The 20,307-nt window shown below is 46.4% G+C and overlaps 1 protein-coding gene and 1 non-coding gene across 10 annotated transcripts in view, besides 1 other annotated feature; both read right to left on the minus strand.

Moving 5' to 3' along the window:
* Positions 1-8,609: 8,609 nt before the first annotated feature.
* The window catches only part of OSCP1 (organic solute carrier partner 1), a 32,546-nt gene continuing 20,848 nt past the window's right edge, over positions 8,610-20,307 (minus strand). For 4 of the 9 annotated variants that reach the window (NM_145047.5, NM_001330493.2, XM_011540681.4 and 1 more), the window contains 6 exons: positions 14,067-14,170; positions 13,472-13,600; positions 12,854-12,923; positions 11,180-11,319; positions 9,695-9,758; positions 8,610-8,959 (listed from right to left, as the gene is read on the minus strand). In NM_145047.5, the coding sequence (NP_659484.4) occupies positions 8,843-8,959; positions 9,695-9,758; positions 11,180-11,319; positions 12,854-12,923; positions 13,472-13,600; positions 14,067-14,170 (624 nt within the window). In that variant the 3' untranslated portion in view covers positions 8,610-8,842. Of the gene's footprint in view, positions 8,960-9,694; positions 9,759-11,179; positions 11,320-12,853; positions 12,924-13,471; positions 13,675-14,066; positions 14,171-19,002; positions 19,180-20,307 lie in introns of those variants that run through there. The other 5 variants (XM_047445746.1, XM_047445744.1, NM_206837.3 and 2 more) reach the window with 3 other exon arrangements.
* Positions 9,152-9,282, minus strand: SNORA63C (small nucleolar RNA, H/ACA box 63C). The gene has a single exon (NR_145725.1). It is a non-coding gene; the product is annotated as a small nucleolar RNA, H/ACA box 63C (small nucleolar RNA).
* Positions 11,942-12,441: an enhancer, noted in NCBI's record as "H3K27ac hESC enhancer chr1:36886839-36887338 (GRCh37/hg19 assembly coordinates)". NCBI's record gives its function as "activates a minimal SCP1, AML or CMV promoter by ChIP-STARR-seq in naive H9 embryonic stem cells {active_cell/tissue: H9 hESC(naive)}" and the evidence as "EXISTENCE:reporter gene assay evidence [ECO:0000049][PMID:30033119]".

The following is a 20,307-nucleotide window of genomic DNA, read 5'->3' on the forward strand; positions in this document are numbered from 1 at the left end:
TTTTTTTTTTTGAGACAGAGTCTCACTCTGTCGCCCAGGCTGGAGTGTAGTGGCACGATCTCGGCTCACTGAAACCTCTGCCTTCTGGGTTTAAGCAATTCTCCTGCCTCAGCCTCCCGAGTAGCTGGGATTACAAGCACCCGCCACTGTGCCTGGCTAATTTTGTATTTTTAGTAGAGATGGAGTTTCACCATCTTGGCCAGACTGGTCTTGAACTCCTGAACTCGTGATCCACCCACCTCAGCCTCCCAAAGTGCTGGGATTACAGGCATGAACAACCGTGCCCAGCCTCTCTGTTCTCTTTAGGTGAGCTCTGTTGTGGTTCTGTTTCCAATTGTCAGAGGATCACAAAATCCTGAGAGTTAGGGTCGACTCCCAGGTCACCTGCTCCAATTTACCACCCAGTACCAACATACCCTTTATGACATTCTGTGATGCTCCCCCCTAACCTCTATCTGAACCACTCCAGTGACAGCAACTCGCTTCTTTGCCAGCTGATCTACTTCACGGTCAGGAAGCTTTTGGTAACTTCTACCCATGTGCTTCCAGTTTTTTAAAACCTTTTTTTTTTTTGTATTTTTATTGAATTTACAAAAATGTCTGTCCAGTTATGACAGTAAAATGGGAAACCACAATGACAAACGGTGGCATGAAAAACAACACACACCCATCAGGAATTATATCAAACACTTTCCTTTTTATTCATTCAGAAGGGAATCCAATGCACAAATGTCAAATGTGAGCATTGTCATTTTTTTTGTTGTTCTAAGAAGGGAGAAAGACACTTATTCTGGCAGCTGCTTCTAGTTCTTTTCTATGGAAAACTGTCCTATTTTGTATTATATTTAATTAATAAATTTTCAAGGTTTTTTTTTTTTTTTTTTTTTTTTTTTTTTTTGAGATGGAGTCTCATTCTGTCACCCAGGCTACAGTGCAGTGGCACAATCTTGGCTTACTGCAACCTCCACTTCCTGGGTTCAAGCAATCCTCCTGCCTCAGCCTCCCCAGTAGCTGGGATTACAGGTGTATGCCACCACACTTGGCTAATTTTTGTGTTTTTAGTAGAGATGGGGTTTCATCATGTTGGCTAGGCTGGTCTTGAACTCCTGACCTCAGGTGATCCGCCTGCTTCAGCCTCCCAAAGTGCTGGGATTCCAGGCATGAACCACCATGCCTGACCTCTTCATGCCTTTTGAAAGTGAAGTAAATGTACTAAATCAATGAAAATGACTGCATTTTCAGACACCGGAGTGTGAGGTGATGTGGACCATCCATGGAAAGAGAGCCTGCAGCACAGGTGGGCATGGGATGACAACACAGAGGTTAAGGGTTGAAGGTAGTGACATTTTTGAAAAATAAGTGATGCAGAATAACTCTCAGAAGGGGTGTAAACCCTGCCGGGCACATCAGACATTGGGATCAGCAATGGGATGAGAATAAGGAATAGGCTGAGGATGAGAAATGGAGTGAGAGTGAGAGGTAAGGCGAAGGAGTGGGAAAGGAATGGGAAAGACAGCCAAGGATGAAATAATGATCCTCTGCCATTGACTTGGCTATTTTGACAGACTTTATAAAATGGCTGTGTTGAACTCTGTATCATACAGAGCAGTCCTCAATCAGAAGGCACTGAGGGAGAGAGAGGATGTATGGTCAGAAAGTGATGTGATTAGACCGGGCGCAGTGGCTCACGCCTGTAATCCCAGCACTTTGGGAGGCCGAGGCAGGTGGATCACGAGGTCAGGAGATTGAGACCATCCAGATTAACACGGTGAAACCCCCTCTCTACTAAAAATACAAAAAATCAGCCGGGTGTGGTGGCGGGCGCCTGTAGTCCCAGCTACTCAGGAGGCTGAGGCAGGAGAATGGCGTGAACCTGGGAGGTGGAGCTTGCAGTGAGCCGAGATCGCGCCACTGCACTCCAGCCTGGGCGACAGAGTGAGACTGCTTCTCAAAAAAAAAAAAAAAAAAAAGAAAGTGTTGTGATTAGAGCCACAGAGGTGAACGGTTGAGAGAGTTTTAGGAAGAAAAGGGTGTTTAGCAGGGCCAAGAGCTTTCAAAAAGCCAAGAAGCCAAGCGTGGTGACTTATGCCTATAATCCCAGCACTTTGGAAGGCCTAGGCGGGAGGATCACTTGAGCCCAGGAGTTTGGAGGCTCAGTGAGCTATGATTGTGCCATTGCACTCCAGCCTGAGCAACAGAGTGAGACCCTGTTTCAAAAACAAAACAGAAAACCAAAAAGCCAAGGAGCATGGTGATGAGAAAAGGCTATTGGATCTATTAATAGCAATGTTGGCACCTGGAGACCTGAGAGTTGAGATCTGTGCAGTGCAGTGCTGGCCCCATAGCCGAGAAGCTGATGAGTACGTGGTGAGGAACAGAGGAGAATGGCTAGAACAATGAAGATGGAGAGAAGCAGCCCCTGGAGAAGTAGGGGCCGAAGGAGTACCTGTGTTACCAGTTGAGGGTAACCAGTACTGGTTGAGGGTAACAGGTTGAGGTAACCTGACTGAATTGTCCAGGTTCTTGGCATTTTGAACAAAGAATTGGACAAAATGCACAAAGAAAGCAACGAGAGAAGAAGCAAAACAGAAGTACAGATTTATTGAAACAAAAGTACACTCCACAGAGTGGGAGTAGGCTCGAGCAAGCAGCAAGAGCCCTGGTTACAGAATTTTCTGGGGTTTAAATATGCTCTAGAGGTTTCCCATTGGTTACTTGGTTACACCCTATGTAAATGAAACCTGCCCCACGACCAGTCAGATTGGTTGTGGGAGGGGACCAATCAGAGGTACTTTCCATTTTTCATCTGTGAGGCAGTGGAAAGGGGGGGTTGCAAAGGGAGTAGCTTCTGATCCTTTCCTTACTTGGGCGTGGAGAGGTGGGGTTTTCGTTTTGATTCAGTTCTAGGAAGGCAGCGCAAATTGGCCTTAGGTTCTTGTCTCCTGCCTCCTGCCTCAGCTGGGCACGTTTGTACAGGAGGAGGAGAGCCTTAGCAGCCACTCAGATAAACACCTGAAGCAGAATATACTTGAGGTAGGGAGGAAAGATGAGGGACACATGCAATATTAATCAATATAAAACAAATATTAGCTTCTTGTCAGTTGTAACCTAAGCTGAGAGGTCTTGAGGATATCTAGAAAACTGGGGTCAAATGTCCTTTGCTGACACGGGGCCCCCTGCTGGGAAACCTGCTGGCCTCAGTGTTTCAAAAGGAAGTGAGGGAGCTCTATAAAGAAAATGAAGGACACAGTGATCTGAGGTGATTGTGCACATCTAGGCCCTGCGGCCTGCCTCTTGCACTGCTGGCACTGCTGGCACTGCTGGCACTGCTGGTGGTGTGTGGCTCCATCGGGCCTAATGCAATTGAGGTTTTTTTTTTTTTTTTTTTTGAGACAGAGTCTCGCTCTGTCCCCCAGGCTGGAGTGTAGTGGTACCATCTCAGCTCACTGCAAACTCTGCCTCCCGGGTTCAAGCGATTCTCCTGCCTAAGCCTCCGCTTCCCAAGTAGCTAGGATTATAGGCATGTTCCATCACACCTGGCTGATTTTTGTATTTTTAGTAGAGACAGAGTTTCACCATGTTGGCCACGCTGGTCTCGAACTCCTGACCTCAGGTGATCCACCTGCCTTGGCCTCTCAAAGTGCTGGGATTACAGGCGTGAGCCACCACACCTGGCCATGCAGTTGAGTTTTCATGCTGTCTTAGGAACTAACAGAGAAGGTAATGTTATTTTTGTCAGCAGAGGCACCACTGGCCAGAAACAAAAAGAATCTAGAATGTACACATGTATGGAGGTGGTGGTGGTGAAGTGTTAAGGTAATCAAATAATCAAAAACAATTTCCATTGACCCTTGGAATGAATCTTGACATTCTCACTTGCAAAGGGGTAAGTTATGATCTGAGAATTTACTTCACACCAAATCAGGAAGCTATGCAGGGAAGATTCAATGTGGAGGTTTCCTTATCCCAAGCCTGTCCTGTAATTCTCTCTACTGTCACCTGTCCAGGAATTTAGCAGCTGAAAAGGAGTTATCCAAGGCATAATTTGGAGAGAATAAGAGGTAGGTAGAGGTAGTATTAGTTTTCTGATTTTAATTTTGGTCTTTAAGATTAGGTATTATGCTAAATACATATTTTCTAAAATTTGCATTTCTCTTTCTATGGTTTCCTGTAGCTTGAGATGGTTCCAAAATGGACAGTGTGGCTCTATACTGAATGTAATCCAGAGTGACAGACCAGATGGTTATAGACTAGATGGATGTGGATGAGGGAATCTGATCCACTTTAGATCTGGGCATCTCCAGGATCTGGTTATGCTGAAGCCTGTTTCTCTCTTATTGGGATATCTGAGGGAAGAATTTAAAAATTCTTAGAAGGGCTGGGTGCAGTTGCTGACGCCTGTAATCCCAGCACTTTGGGAGGCCGAGGCAGGTGGATCACCTGAGGTCAGGAGTTCGAGACCAGCCTGGCCAACATGACAAAACCCTATATCTACTAAGAAAATACAAAAATTAGCCAGGCATGGTGGTGCATGCCTGTAATCTCAGCTACTTGGGAGGCTGAGGCAGGAGAATTGCTTAAACCCAGGAGGTGGAGGTTGCAGTGAGCTGAGATTGTGCCACTGCACTCCATCCTGGGCGACACAGCAAGACTCTGTCTAAAAACAAAAAATTGTTAGAAGGCTGGGCGTGGTGGCTCACGCCTGTAATCCCAGCACCTTTGGAGGCTGAGGCAGGAGAATCGCTTGAGACCAGGAGTTTGAGATCAGCGTGGGCAACATAGTGAGACCAGGTGTGATGGCACGTGCCTGTAGTCCCAGCTACTTGGGAGGCTGAAGTGGGAGGATCGCTTGAGGAGGTCGAGGCTGCAGGGAGCTGTGATTGTGCCACTACACTCCAGCCTGGGTGACAGAATGAGACCTTGTTTCAAAAATAAATAAAAATTGTTAGATACTCACGGGGACTACATGGTGAAATGGGCCCATAGACTGTTCTTTTGGATAAACGTAGACATTGATCCTTCTGCTGTTAAAGCTTGAAACTTGTATTTGTTTTATCTAAGTTCCTTTCTCAGGAAAGGACCTTCAGGCCCCTAAAAAATGGGATCAGAGAACTGAAACTTACCAGATGGGGGCACCAGATGCCCCCTTGCCCCTCCCTAGTTCTTATTTTGTTACACATTGTTACATTTCTTCCTTGCTATGTAAACCCCTAGCTTTAGTCGATCAGGGAGATGGATTTGAGACTGAGCTCCCATCTTCTCTGCAGCACCTGATTAAAGCCTTCTTCCTTGAAAATACTTATCTCAGAGATTGGCTTTCTGTGCGGTGAGCAGCAGGACCTAGACCAAACGCCTGGTGTTTCGGGAACAATGGGATGACTTTCTTCTTAGAATTCAGAGATAAATACATTTTCCTTCTTTTTTCTTCCTCCTTTGCTCTGGATTTTTATTACTTCTTTCTTCTGGGAGCCATTAAAGTCCTTTGGTTTTTGGCTTTTCTGCAGCATTGCTTTACTTAATCAACAGGGCATTCTAACACCCTAAGAACAAGAGTGGGGTGGTTTGAAACTTAGTTGAGAAGAGGCTACAGTCACAGAAGAGCTGAAAGAGAGCAGATATACCCCAAAGCAGCGGGGGGAGGGCAGCCTGGGTAAGACTCCCATTCTCAGGTCCCACCTGGGGCAGGGCCCAGGAAGCTATAAACTCAGGAACTTATCTGTGCAAGCTGAGTTTGAATTCTTTTTCTTTTTTAATAGATGAGGGACCCGAGGCTTGGTGAGGGTTAGTGGTCTAAGATGACATGGTGAATTGGGGGCGGGGATGGGGCCAGAGTGCAGTGTTGTGATTCTGACCATATGCCTTCCCCTTAAGTTCACTGGGCATTGGTGGATTACATGCTTATGCCCCTTTGCCATGGTTTTAAATGAATATGTGTGCTTTTAGTACTTTGTCCACATTTTAGGCAGAAAATAAAATCTTTTTAGAATCTTTATTTATTTTTATTGAGATGGGGTCTCATTCTGTCACCCAGGCTAGAGTACAGTGGCACAGTCATGGCTCACTGCAGCCTCGACCTCCTACTTTTTATCTACTTTACCTCCTACTGACTCCCATGCTTTCTCTGGAAGTCCTGAACCACCATGCAAATAAACTTGTTTTTCTTTTTTTTTTTTTGAGACGGAGTCTTGCTCTGTCGCCTAGGCTGGAGTGCAGTGGCGCGATCTCGGCTCACTGCAAGCTCCGCCTCCCAGGTTCACGCCATTCTCCTGCCTCAGTCTCCTGAGTAGCTGGGACTACAGGCACCCGCCACCACACCCAGCTAATTTTTTGTATTTGTAGTAGAGACGGGGTTTCACCGCGTTAGCCAGATGGTCTCGATCTCCTGACCTTGTGATCCGCCCACCTCGGCCTCCCGAAGTGCTGGGATTACAGGCGTCAGTCACTGTGCCCGGCCATAAACTTGTTTTTCTTAATATCTGTGCAAGTCTAGAGACATGAAACTCACAGATTGCCTCATCATGGAGCTGTCATACCAGAGATCTGCATCTTGTTTATTTACTGATAGGACAGATACGTTTGAAATCACCAGCATCGCTCTGGGATAGGTGGAGGGAGGAGGCTGCGGCTGCTTCTCGGCACCTCACGGCCCACCTCCAAGGCCCTGGGACACACTCAGAGCAGTGACATTCTGATATGTGACAGCAAGGTGGGAGCCGGACTCAAAACAGGTCAGAACCTTCCCATTCATCTGTCACCCAGTCAGGCCCCCCTGAATGGTGGCCAGATTGCTGAAAAGAGACTAAAACGAAAGGCACTTTGTACATCTGATGCAACAGGTGTTTTATAGCACAATATGCTTCTCCTCCCCAACAGACTTTTCGTGAGTATGTGGAGGGGGAGGGTGTCTTTATAGGTAAGGAAGTGTAACTTTAATGGGTAGGGAGCAATTAACATTTATTTGGTGATTTATATTCTTTTTTTTTTTTTTAATTGAGACAGAGTTTCGCTCTTGTTGCCCAGGCTGGAGTGCAATGGCATGATCTTGGCTCACTGCAACCTCTACCTCCTGGGTTCAAGCGATTCTCCTGCCTCAGCCTCCTGAGTAGCTGGGATTACAGGCATGCGCTACCAGGCCTGGCTAATTTTGTATTTTTAGTAGAGACAGGGTTTCTCTATGTTGGTCAGGCTGGTCTCGAACTCCTGACCTCAACTGATCTGCCCGCCTCGGCCTCCCAAAGTGCTGGGGATTACAGGCATGAGCCACCATGCCCAGCCCTTGGTGATTTACATTCTGTATCTAAACCCTTTGCCTTTGGAAAAGCCAAAGGGCAGCTTCCATTACATTCTAGAATGATGTTCACCTTGGTCCGTCCCAGGTGTGAGGGGATGGAGAGGTTCCTGTAGTTGGCCCAATCTCAGGCAATGTCCAGCTCAACTTAGTTTCTCTCCAGCCCTCTGCCATTCTGGATATTCCTTCCATAGGATTGAATGGGTCTGAACCTGCCAGTTACTCAGTCCTGGGAAGGAGCCTATGGCAGAGGGCTGCTGCGCCTTTCTGAAGCAGTAAGGGCAGCCCTGGCTGGAGACATTTTACATGGATTCCAGTGAGACTTGGCCTCCTGCTGCATCCTGCAAAGTCTGCTCCCGCCCAGGGAAGCGGCTCAGCTAGAATGCAGAAGGGAAAGGTGCATACCACACGTGCCTCCCATGCACCCAATCTAGGGTGCTGTTTGGTGACTCACGGTGATGCAGAGGAGACCGATGTCACAGTGCATCCTGCCGGGTATCTTTTTTTTTTTTGAGACATAATCTCGCTCTGTCACCCAGGCTGGAGTGCAGTGGCGCGATCTAGGCTCACTGGAAGCTCTGCCTACCAGGTTCATGCTATTCTCCTGCCTCAGCCTCCAGAGTAGCTGAGACTACAGGCATCTGCCACCATACCCAACTAATTTTTTTTGTATTTTTAGTAGAGATGGGGTTTCACTGTGTTAGCCAGGATGGTCTCGATCTTCTGATCTCGTGATCCGCCCACCTCAGCCTTCCAAAGTGCTGGGATTATAGGCCTGAGCCACTGTGCCCGGCCTATGCTGGGTGTCTTTAGAAGGCAAAGCACACTCAGGGGTAGAGGAAGACCCTGGGGGTAAGGAGTACATGTCATGCTGAAAAGAAGAAAATATTCTCTTGGTATACATGTCAGTATGGGATAAACTGACACCGCATGGATAGACGGACGTGCGGGAAGTACAGATGCTGGCATGTCCTGCCTGGGGCCAGCTGAGTGTTCCCTGTCACGGCCTTGCTTACTCTTCCTCTGAGGTTACAGTTCCTAGTGAGCCATGGAGAAGAGGGTCTTTTACACTGAGCCCTCACTGTTTATGGCAACTGCCTCGAACAGTCATTGATTTCAAGCTTGCCTACAGGCAGAATGTATCCCAGAAAGCCAAGGATTTTGTTAATGTTTACAGGCCTTTGTAGATCCCCACAGGAAAGCTGAAATAGTAATCCTGAAAATGACAGTAGGGGTGACCCCTTACCCACTCTGGGGCTCAAACCTATGGCTCAGGAGGCTTTTGGTGGCTGCCACAGAATTAAGAATAAAATGGGAAAGGTCAAGTTTAAAAGTCAGAATATATTTCACTGAAAATATGTGTATGTGTGTGCCTTCAAGAGTGAGTGCTCCTCAAGGGAGACTCACACAGTTCCTTACAACATAAATAAGAAATAGACGTAATGGCTTCACTCAGTAGAAAACTAGCAGCATCATTCTGGGCCATGGGGCATTCCCCAGGGGTCACCATCCAGCAGCCTCTCCCTGGGGGCAGAGGACGCCTGGTCAGAACAGCTATAACTCATCCATCATGGCGAGCAAATCGTCCCCTTTGCTGGTGCTCAGCCTTGGCTGCTCCGTGATCTCAAACTCCCCCATGATTCGAGCCAGCTCCTCGCTCCGTTGCTGGTCCTATGAGGGAAATGAGAGGTAAAAGGGCATGAAGAGGCTGTGCTGGCAGGCCGCCTCTTTGTGCACTAGGCACTTAGTTTTTTGTCCCATGACTGATATGTTTCAGTTGCGCACCTGTTTGTCAGAAAAGGGATTGTAGTTACAGGCTGATCAGAGAGAAGAAGAGGGTCTATATATTTTTTTTCTTAATCAACATGTATGTGACCAAGCATCCCTGGCTGCTACAGAATAGCAGATGGGTATAGTTAAGAAACAACTTTAATTTGAGCAGGGGGAATGACAATACAGCACTTAACAGCTATATTGTAGTCTGAATCCTGCTTGAAAAAGAGGGTCTCTGAAGTTCAACGTTATATAAGATGAGGAAAGGAGGAAGGGAGGCTGGGTACGGTGGCTCACCTTTGTAATCCCAGCACTTTGGGAGGCCAAGGCGGGTGGATCACTTGAGGTCAGGAGTTTAAGACCAGCCTGGCCAACTTGGTGAAATCCCACCTCTACTAAAAATACAAAAAAAAAAAAAAAATTAGCTGGGCATATTGGCGGGCACCTGTAATCCCAACTACTCGGCAGGCTGAGGCATGAGAATTGCTTAAACCTGGGAGGTGGAAGTTGCGGTAAGCTGAGATCAAGCCACTGCACTTCACCTGGGTGACAGAGCGAGACCCTGTCTCAAGAAAAAAAAAAAAAGATGAGGAAGCGAATACGATTGGACCCTGTGTTATCCCCTGTACGTACCTGGGTGGCTTGTATGTTGATAACTTCATAGGATAACTCTTCTGGCCTGGTTAGCGCTGCTTGTCTGGATGAGATGGTAAAGAAAATGGGTGCAACATTAGGGTTCTTTCCCTGCCAGCATGGCAAACTGGCTCTTGATCAGTTGGCAACCTATTTTTTCTGCCTCATCTGCCATTTCTCTTAAACTTTCTACCCCATCTCCCACCAATGTACCCTACGACCTAGAAAGTCAAGTTCTTTTATCTCTCTGTGACTTTGCACATTATAAGCCCTGCCAAGAATGTTTCTTCCCTTCCTCTGCTTGGCAAACTCCAAGACCTAGATCAAATGCCAGCTCCTTCAATCTGCCAGTGCAAAGTCAGTCACTGTCCTCAATTAGCGCATTCATGACACAGCACTGAAATAACTTATATCTGTACACGTTCACTCTCCCACTAAGCTGAGAGCTTCCTGAGGACAGGCTCTAGGTCTTACATCTTTGCATTCCCAGGACTTTACATAGTACCTGTCACACAGAATTAAACAAAAGAAGTTATTAATAGTTCAATGAAAGGTGACACTCACGCCAAATACTTGGTTTTGAGGAGGATCACATGAGATAATGCATGCAAAAGTGCTCTGTAAACTGTAAAGCACTATAAATCACCGTGGGTGATTTACTATTGCTGTTGGTTTTGGGTTATACTGTCTAATACAGGGAAATCAAGCTCCAACCTCACTCTGGTTTCTTAACACACTGTCTTAATCTGGTCATCCTGGCTTCTAACACTGCTTATTCAGCTGTTCTCTGATAAGTAAAACATTATAACTCTTTTTTTGTTTTGTTTATTATCATTTTTTAGAGACAGGGTGTTGCTCTCTCTCCTAGGCTGGAATGCAGTGGCATGATCACAGCTTGCTTAACCTTAAATTCCTGGGCTCAGACGATCCTTCTGCCTCAACCTCGTGGGTAGCTGGGACTACAGGTGCGCACCATCACACCGTCTCTTTTTTTTTTTTTTTTGAGACAGAGTCTTGCTGTGTCTCCCAGACTGGAGTGCAATGGTGCAGTCTTGGCTCACTGCAACCTCTGCCTCCCGGGTTCAAGTGATTTTCCTGCCTCAGCCTCCCGAGTAGCTGGGACTACAGGTGCGTGCCACCACACCCAGCTAATTTTTTTTTTTTTTTTGTAGAGACGGGGTTTCACCATGTTAGCCAGGATGGCCTCGACCTCCTGACCTTGTGATCCGCCTGCCTTGGCCTCCCAAAGTGCTGGGACTACGGGCGTGAGCCACTGCACCCGGCCCCATCTCTTTTTTTGAATGACTCTGGAAGATTCAGGCCATTTCATCCTGGTGGGCTATTTAGATTATTAAATTTGTTGGTATTTTATTTGTGATATTTACACAAATATTTATAAGTGCCACTGGTTTGTAATAGTCATTTTGTGTTCTTGTCATGCTTGGGATTTTTATATGTCTTTAACGAAACAGGTTTAAAACATACTCCTCTTCTTCATCGGTGGTAAAGAGATTCAACCGGAATCCGGGCTCAGGGCCACTGGGTTTCTTAATCTCCATCCCTCCCATCAGCCTGGCCAAGAAATTCAGCTCTTCTTTAGCAAGAGGGTTTGGAGCAATGCTTTCCTGCAGAAACAGTTGCATGATTTTTAGCCACATGAAGGCAATCACATTTCCTGCTAAAACCTCAGAGACACAGGTAGGTATTATAAAATAAGGTAGAACAATTGCTATTTAAATTATTTCTGGGTCCAAATAAAGTGTAGAAAGCAGCCTTAACCAAAAGAAAAACAATCACGTCAGTAGCAGAGGGAATGTAGCAACTTTGCAAACCAGAGATTTTCATACTTTCCGCAAGAGTGGAAGCCCCAGGGATCCACGTTTCTCCTCTCACTACCTTCCTCCTTGAAGAAGTGTATGGCTTCCTTTCCTGTCAATCGGTTTCCCTCAGCATTTACAAGTCGCCTCAGTCCAGTCTCCTTCCAGAGGCGCTGCCACACTGCCCTCAGGTGGTGACGGCCGGGAACACACCCTCGAGTCCATTCCCTCCTCTCACAGTCCTCATCCTGCCTCATCCTGTACCCCTCTTCCTTGTAGCCTGGCCTCCCCTGTTCTGCCTCTCCCCTCACTCCACCACCAGTTACCTAAATGCAGTTTTTGTCTCATTTCTCCCTGGCTTGAAACAAAGCCCTCTGCCTCCTGTCGAAAGAACAAAGCCCAAATTGTTTACCACCCTTCCTGGTCAGGCCCCAGGGTCCTGTCCAGGCGAGTCTCTGCCAGCAAGCCTCCATGATACTGTGATCCGTTACGTAAGCCTCGTGGGAGACACCGCCATCCTCCTCCCGGGAACACTCTTGCCCCTCTGTCACCTTGGTCCGTGTGCCCATTTCTCCCTCTCTGCTGTTTCATAGTTTACCTACTCTAGAGCCCCACTTCAATATCCCCGCCTCTGAAATGCCTTCTTGATCCCTGTGATCCCTGTCCACTGGACAGACATGAATTCCTCTGGCACAGCACTTTGTGCAGGATCCCCAGCCAGCCCTTCCTCCACCTCATTTGAGTTGTTTCTTTCACCGTCTTTCCCAGGGTACCACAGGCCCCTTCAAGATGGGACCACATCTACGTCAGCTTCGTGTCCCTGGGTCCCCAGCCCATAGAAGCAGTTTAATAAATGTTTGCTGAATAATTTAATATTCTGTGATCTCTCCTACAGCTAGCTGGGAGCTAGTTCAGCGAAAACTTCTAAGGATGGAATTCAGAGAAACTAAAACCCCCCACTCTGACTTAGCTACCACGGTGCTATAGAGGGAAACATTAAAAAGAAATGTTTTAATGATCAGAATACACACGAGTGCTGATGTCAGCAATCACGGACCTAATGGCACTGGTACTACGCTACTGCATATGTCCTGGTGTGTGGTTCCTCTTAATTATGGTGGCCGAGCCAAGCCTAAAATTACCTAATTAGTGAGATCACTGGAAGTCTCCATGAAAAGCTACAATTAAAACCTGTGTACTCGTAAGGTGGAATGGAGAAGATTGCACACAACAGGGGAAATGTTGGCTAGATCCGAAATCTAAAGCGTTCTCACCTCTCTTTATGTAGACTTCCGTATCTAGAGAGAAGCTGTGAGGGTAGGCAAGGAAGGCAGAAGCTCACCTGGGTCCATGAGGCTAAGTTCTTTGATGATCCAGACACATGAGTTTCCACAGGCTGATTCACGCTGTACCTGGTGTGTCAACAGAAAATGGTGACATTATCCAGCCCCTTTCCACGGACTTCTCTCTAACTCGTAAGCATAGTTTGTAGCTTTTATTCTGAGACATTAAATAGCATCCAGAAAGGTGCTGTGGGTACAGAATGCAACTGAGTGTGTGTTAACCATTCACATTTCACTTCTTCCTAAAGAAAAACACCTGGGGAGGCTGGGTGGCAATGCCTCCTCTTGTGAAGAGTAACACGCATCACTGAAAATATATGCAGCTTTACAGAACGGATAAGTCTTTCTGGATTTCCACTGCAACACAGATTTTGGCTAGTTCTCTTGCATGGCTATTGAACATCATGTATCTTTTCATTCTGTTGAGTTGCCTTATGTTTGGCGTTCCTGGGTGCCCTTTGAAATGTCAGGCCTCTGTATGCAGTGTACCTAAGGGGAAATTACTCCTATTGTCGGCAGGGATTTTCATAGCAGAAGTCTGGCTGTTTCTCTTTTTTTTTTTTTAAATGAAGTGACCTCCCTTGGACTTGAATTCACTCAGAGAAGAATTTGCTTACATGTTAGTTCCCAGTTTCAGGACTCGGTCTCCATAAAGTTCAAAAGAACCTTCTTTGGGTGCAGGGACATAGTTTCCACCATGCTTGAATTCTATCCTCTTCACTTCTTCACCTTTGTTGTTGAACATTCTACAATACAAAGTATGACATGATGGAATGTTCTCCAAGCTTAGGTAGTCCTGGAGGCTTCTTTATTCTTTGTACTACAGAACAAAAAAGGAATACATGCTCTCCTTCAAGATAAAGGTGCTGGTTGTAATAATAATAATAATAATACAATAATAATATTTATTGAGCATATGTATGTGCCAATTGCTTTGTAAGCACGTTAGAGCACTATTATCTTATTCATCCACACAGTAACCATTTAACAGATGAGGAAATTAGTCCTGGGGAACTGGGTAACTTGCCTCAAGTCCCTCTACTAAGTGACAAGGTGGGGATTAGAACCTGACTTTTTCAATAGCTGTTTTACTGAAGAAAGAGAAGGGCTGGGCAGACTGTGAGTGGCTTGGCAGTGCGGCATTCCGTGTGCGGCCCATGTGCTGATTTCCTAGCACCCCAAACATAGCTCTGATCATTGTTGGGAATTCACCTGATGAGTCCTGGAACTTCAGTTCCCCAAGGAACAGGCCCGGACACCGGCAACACAAAGCGACCGTTATTATTCTGAACTTTGTCCTTTAGAAACATGGATACCTGGAAAAAAATACATTTATTGTCATTTTTCTTGGTATATTTTCATAGACATCAATATTCTGAGGGTGGAAAGTGCGTAATGGTTTGGGAACATGACCTATGAGTTTATAACAATAAGAAGGGAGAGGCTGGGCGCAGTGGATCATGCCTGTAATCCCAGCACTTTGAGAGGCTGAGGCAGGCGGATCATGAGGTCAGGAGATAGAGACTATCCTGGCTAACACGGTGAAACCCTGTCTCTACTAAAAATACAAAAAATTAGCCGGGCGTGGTGGTGGGCACCTGCAGTCTCAGCTACTCAGGAGGCTGAGGCAGGAGAATTGCTTGAACCTGGAAGGCAGAGGTTGCAGTGAGCCAAGATCGTGCCATTGCACTCCAGCCTGGGCGACAGAGTAAGACTTCATCTCAAAAAAATAAAAAAATAAAAAAAAGAAGGGAGAAAAAATTACACTTGCAGAGTTAACTGTATTTTAACAAACAGAACTATTTTTTTTTTTGAGATAGGGACTCACTTTGTCACCCAGGCTGGAGTGCAGTGGCACGATCTTGCCTCACTGCCACCTCAGCCCCGCCAGCTCACGCGATTCTCCCGTCATAGCCCCCAAGTAGCTGGGACCACAGGTGTGAGCCACTGTGCCCAGCTAATTTTTATATTTTTTTGTAGAGATGGGTTTTCGCCATGTTGGCCAGGCTCAAAATCCTAAGCCCAAGTGATCTGCCTGCCTCGGCCTCCCAAAGTGCTGGGATTACAGGCGTGAGCCACCGTGCTCGGCTACAAACAGAACTACTTTTGAGCAGCGCAGCAAACCTTCCAGGTGAGTCCTATTACCCCCATTTTAAAGACGAGAAAGCTAAAGTAGAGAGTGAAGTGACTTGCCCAAAGAGAGCTAAGAGGCAGGGCCAGGATTCAAAACCAAAGGTGACTCCAAATTCCACCCGTATGCCTTGGTTCCCTGCCTACTTTCCATGCAGCTGCAGGCCTTGAGCTGTAAGAACCTCATATGGCCACTTTCTACATGAGGCAGCTCAGAGGTTAAGATGCCTCCTCAAGGTCAGCCAGCTGGTAAGGGGCAGAGCTGAGGATTCAAACTCCTGTGATTCTGACTTTGGAGCCCGAACCTTATCCACATGCTGGACTAGAAAGAAGGATGGGGCTGGGGCAGGGGGATCCAGCTGACATTTAAGTTTGAGGATCTTTTAGGTGACTGAAAACACATTACACTTATTCCTTCTCCTGGGTTCGTGTACTCTGTATAGAGGTTTCGGTCACTCACAGATTAAATCTCATAAAGATAGTAGCAGTTAATCAGTTTTACTGGGTCTTGGCTTCCTTATCTGTAAAATAAGAGATGAGCTTGAAGATCTTTTCAACTCTAATATTCTATAAGGTTATATTAGTAATATAATCAAGAATAAGTATCTTAGGCTGGGTGTGGTGGCTTACGCCTGTAATCCTAGCACTTTAGGAGGCTGAGGCGGGTGGATCACCTGAGGTCAGGAGTTCGAGACCAGCCTGGCCAACATGGTGAAACCCTGTGTTTAATAAAAATAAAAAAATTACCAGGGTGTGGTGGCTCATGCCTGTAATCCCAGCTACTCACAAGGACAAGGCACGAGAATCGCTTGAACCCCAGAGGTGGAGGTTGCAGTGAGCCGAGATCATGCCACTGCACTCCAGCCTGGGCAACAGAGCAAGACTCTGTCTCAAAAAAAAAAAAAAAAATGGAAAGAATAAGCATTTGTTGTGTGCAAGGCAGTGAAAATGCAAAGCGATAAGAATGTGTGAGCTGGCAGCTTGGCATACTGATGTTAGACTCTGAAGGCTTAAATACTGGACGGGCCACTTCTGGGTTTTTGGGAAATTACACAACCTTTCTGTGCATCAGTTTTCCCTTTGGTAACCTGGGGGTAATAATAGTAATAATAATAGATAACTCGGTGGGTTACTGTGACAACTAAATCAGACAGTGTATAAAAAGTAAAGCCGGCTGGGTACAGTGGCTCACGCCAGTAATCCCAGCACTTTGGGAGGCTGAGGCGGGAGGATCATGAGGTCAGGAGTTCAAGACCAGCCTGGCCAACATGGTGAAACCCTGTCTCTACTAAAAATACAAAAAATTAGCTGGGTGTGGTGGCATGTGCCTGTAATCTGGCTACTCGGGAGGCTGAGGCAGGAGAATCGCTTGAACCCAGGAGGTGGAGGTTGCATTGAGCTGAGACCTTGTCACTGTATTCCAGCCTGGGCAACAGAGCAAGACTCTATCTGGAAAAAAAAAAAAAAAAGCAAAGGCTGACACATAGACTATGTGCTCAATAAATGGTAGCCAATACTCTTATTATTACAAGTCTATTTGGACACAGGACACAAGCATAAAATGGAGAAAATAACACTTTAAAGCAGGACATGCTACATAGCAGGTGCATAGAAGCTTGCTGAGGAGAATGACTGCTGGCATGCCGGGAGTCTGGGGGGAGGCAGGCGTGACTGTGGGTCTGGAGCTGAGCCTGGAGGAAGAAGGTAGGTGTAGAGACACTTCAGAGATGGAGATGAGCAGGTGTGAGTCACGTTTTCAGGGGAACATGTAAACTGGTTTGGTCAGAGGGTTTGCTGGATGACGTTTAAGACATTTTTAACCTCAAGATTCTGTGACCAAGGGATGTGAGTACAAGAAAGGAGAAAGAAAATTTAGAGGGAGAATTGGGAATATTTATATGTGCTAGAAACTCTGTTAGTTTAATCTTATGAGGTTGACTATGGCATGGTAGATCTGAAATGTACAAATTTAGGTCATGTGTGTGTCTGTGTTTGGCCTGAGACTCTGCCAGTGGCTGGAGAGGACTGTTAGGTCTGTTTGCTTGCTCAGCCCCTCTGCTGGCCTTTTCTTCTCCCTCCACCCTTTCCTTTCCGAGGTGATCTCGTCTCCTCCCATACTCCAGGGCTCACCTCTGAGCTCATGGCTCCCAGATCTCAAGGTCCCACTCCAGCTCCTTCCCTGGCACTGACCCATCCATCCCATTGCCTGTCACACATTTCCATCTATGGGTCCCCTAGGATGTACCTCAAATTCCCCCTGCTCAGAACAGGGCCCATCTTTGTCTCTTCCTCAACCCTTCAGTTGCCAAGCCTTTCCTCTCCACCCCAACTATTGCTCCCTATGCAGGCCTTCACTGTTTTCTGCCTGCCCCACTGCAGAAGCCTCCTGTCTGGTCTCCCTGCCTTCCTTCTCGCCTGCTGTATTTTTTTATTTTAATTTTTTAAGGCAGCATCTTGCTCTGTAGCCCAGGCTGTAGTGCAGTGGTGCGATCTCGGCTCACTGCAACCTCTGCCTCCCGGGTTCAAGTGATTCTCCTACCTCAGCCTCCTGAATAGCCGGGACTACAGGCATGTGCCACCACACCCAGCTAATTTTTGTATTCTTAGTAGGGACGGGGTTTCACCATGTTGGCCAGGCTGGTCTCGAACTCCTGACCTCAAGTGATCTGCCTGCCTCAGCCTCCCAAAGTGCTGGGATTACAGGTGTGTGCCATGGTGCCTGGCCTCTTTTTTTTTTTGAGATGGAGTCTTGCTCTGTCGCCCAGGCTAGAGTACAGTGGCATGATCTCGGCTTACTGCAACCTCTGCTTCCTGGGTTCAAGCGATTCTCCTGCCTCAGCCTCCCGAGTAGCTGGGATTACAGGCGCCCGCCACCATGCCTGGCTAATTTTTGTATTTTTTAGTAGAGATGGGGTTTCACCATCTTGGCCAGGCTGGTCTCGAACTCCTGACCTCATGATCCACCTGCCTTGGCCTCCCAAAGTGTTGGGATTACAGGCGTGAGCCATGGCGCCTGGCCTTTTTTTTTTTTTTTGACACAGAGTCTTGCTCTGTTGCATAGACTGGAGTACAGTGAACATGATCATAGCTTACTGCAGCCTTGAAATCCTAGGCTCAAGGAATCCTCCGGCCTTGGCCTCCCAAAGTGCTTGGATTACAGGTATGAGCCATCACTCCCAGTCAGAATATTATCACGCCCAGCTAATTTTTGTATTTTTAGTAGAGACGGGGTTTCACCATGTTGGCCAGGATGGTCTCGATCTCTTGACCTTGTGATCTGCCCGCCTTGGCCTCCCAAAGTGCTGGGATTACAGGCGTGAGCCACTGCACCCAGCTGAAAGCCTTTTCATTATAATGAATTTTATCTTGTCGGAACTGGGAAATCAATATGGCTGTTTATGTTACTACCAATCCATAAAATAATACCCAAATATGCAGCCCTGATAACAATATGATACAGAATTTTTAATATTTCAAAATTGTTATTTTAAATTTAATGAAAAACTTAATCTTATTTGTACTTTCATATTTTTTATTTTAATCAATGACAGAGATCTTAATTTATATTGATGTTATTATTGCTTCATCCATAGCAAATACAATTCTTCATGAGAGTTAAAAATAAGGCCGGGCGCTGTGGCTCGCGCCTATAATTCCAGCACTTTGGGAGGCCGAGGCGGGTGGATTGCCTGAGGTCAGGAGTTCAAGACCAGTCTGGCCAACGTGGTTAAACCCCGTCTCTACTAAAAATACAAAAAAATTAGCTGGATGTGGCGGTGTGCACCTGTAATCCCAGCTACTCGGGAGGCTGAGGCAGGGGAATTGCTTGAACCAGGGAGGTGGAGGTTGCAGTGAGCTGAGATGGTGCCACTGCACTCCAGCCTGGGCGACAGAGCCAGACTGCATCTCAAAAAAAAAAAAAAAAAAAAAGAAAGAAAAATTTGGCATCAGAATTGAAATCTATTTATCTTCCTTTGTCCATGGAAGGGAAATACAATAAGGCACTAAATACATTGCATTTCTTCCCCTTTTTAAAATTTTATTTTGCCCAGGTACAAAACTCAAAGTTCTCAAAAGGGTATACATAATGGAAAGTCAGTCTCCTTCTCCTGTCCTCCATATAGTTCCCCACTCCTGGAAGGCAACACTGTGCACTGTGAACAGTTTCTTGCATATGCTTCCAGAAGCACTCTCTCTGTATATGCACAAACAAATACATATATGTTACATATGCTGTTTCAGTTAATCCAACAAAATTAGGTATTATAATTTTCATTTTTCAGATGAAGAAACTAAGACTTAAGAGAAGTTATTTTGCCCAAGGTCATGGAGCTAGTCCTATAGTTGGGATTCATTTTCTTAATTAAAAATTGTTTTATTTTGGCTGGGCATGGTGGCTCATGCCTGTAATCCCAGCACTTTGGGAGGCTGAGGCGGGCGGATCGCCTGAGGTCAAGAATTTGAGACCAGCCTGGCTAACATGGTGAAACCCCATCTCTACTAAAAATACAAAAATTAGCCAGGCGTGTTGGCAGGCGCCTGTAATCTCAGCTGTTTGGGAGGCTGAGGCAGGAGAATTGCTTGAACCCGGGAGGTGGAGGTTGCAGTAAGCCGAGATTGTGCCACTGCATTCCAGACAGAGTGAGACTCTGTCTCAAAAACAAAACATTTTATTTTAAGGACAGAGTCTCACTATGTTGCCCAGGATGGTCTTGAACTCCTGGGCTGAAGTGATCCTCCTGCCTCAATATCCCAAGTAGTTCAGACTACAGGCACTCGCCACTGTGGCCAGCTCTGGAGTTGAGATTCAAAGAGAAAGGTGAAGCTGGGCACAGTGGCTCACACTTGTAATCCCAGCACTTTGAGAGGCCAAGGCAGGCAGATTGCTTGAGCTCAGGAGTTCAAGACCAACCTGGGCAACAAAGCAAGATTCTGTCTCTACAAAAAATACAAAAAATTAGCCAGGCGTGGTGGCATGCTCCTGTAGTCCCAGTTACTCGAGAGGCTGAGGTGGAAGGTCACTTGAGCCCAGGAGATTGAGGCTGCAGTGAGCCATGATTGTGCCACCATACTCCAGTCTGGGCAACAAAATGAGAACCTGTCTCAAAAAAAAAAAAAAAGAGAAACATGTCTGGCTCCAGAGCCTGGGCTTGTTTTACCATATCATACCATCTTTCCCACATCAGTTGGTTAAATTGTGGCAGGAAACAAAGCCCTGTCCAAGAGAGACACATTCAAAATTCAGAAGCTTAGAATTTTTTTTTTTTTTTTTTTTTTTTTGAGACATGGTCTCGCTCTGACACCTGGTCTGAATCATGGATCC

Source organism: Homo sapiens, chromosome 1 (genome assembly GCF_000001405.40).
Source record: "Homo sapiens chromosome 1, GRCh38.p14 Primary Assembly".
NCBI lineage: Eukaryota > Metazoa > Chordata > Mammalia > Primates > Hominidae > Homo > Homo sapiens.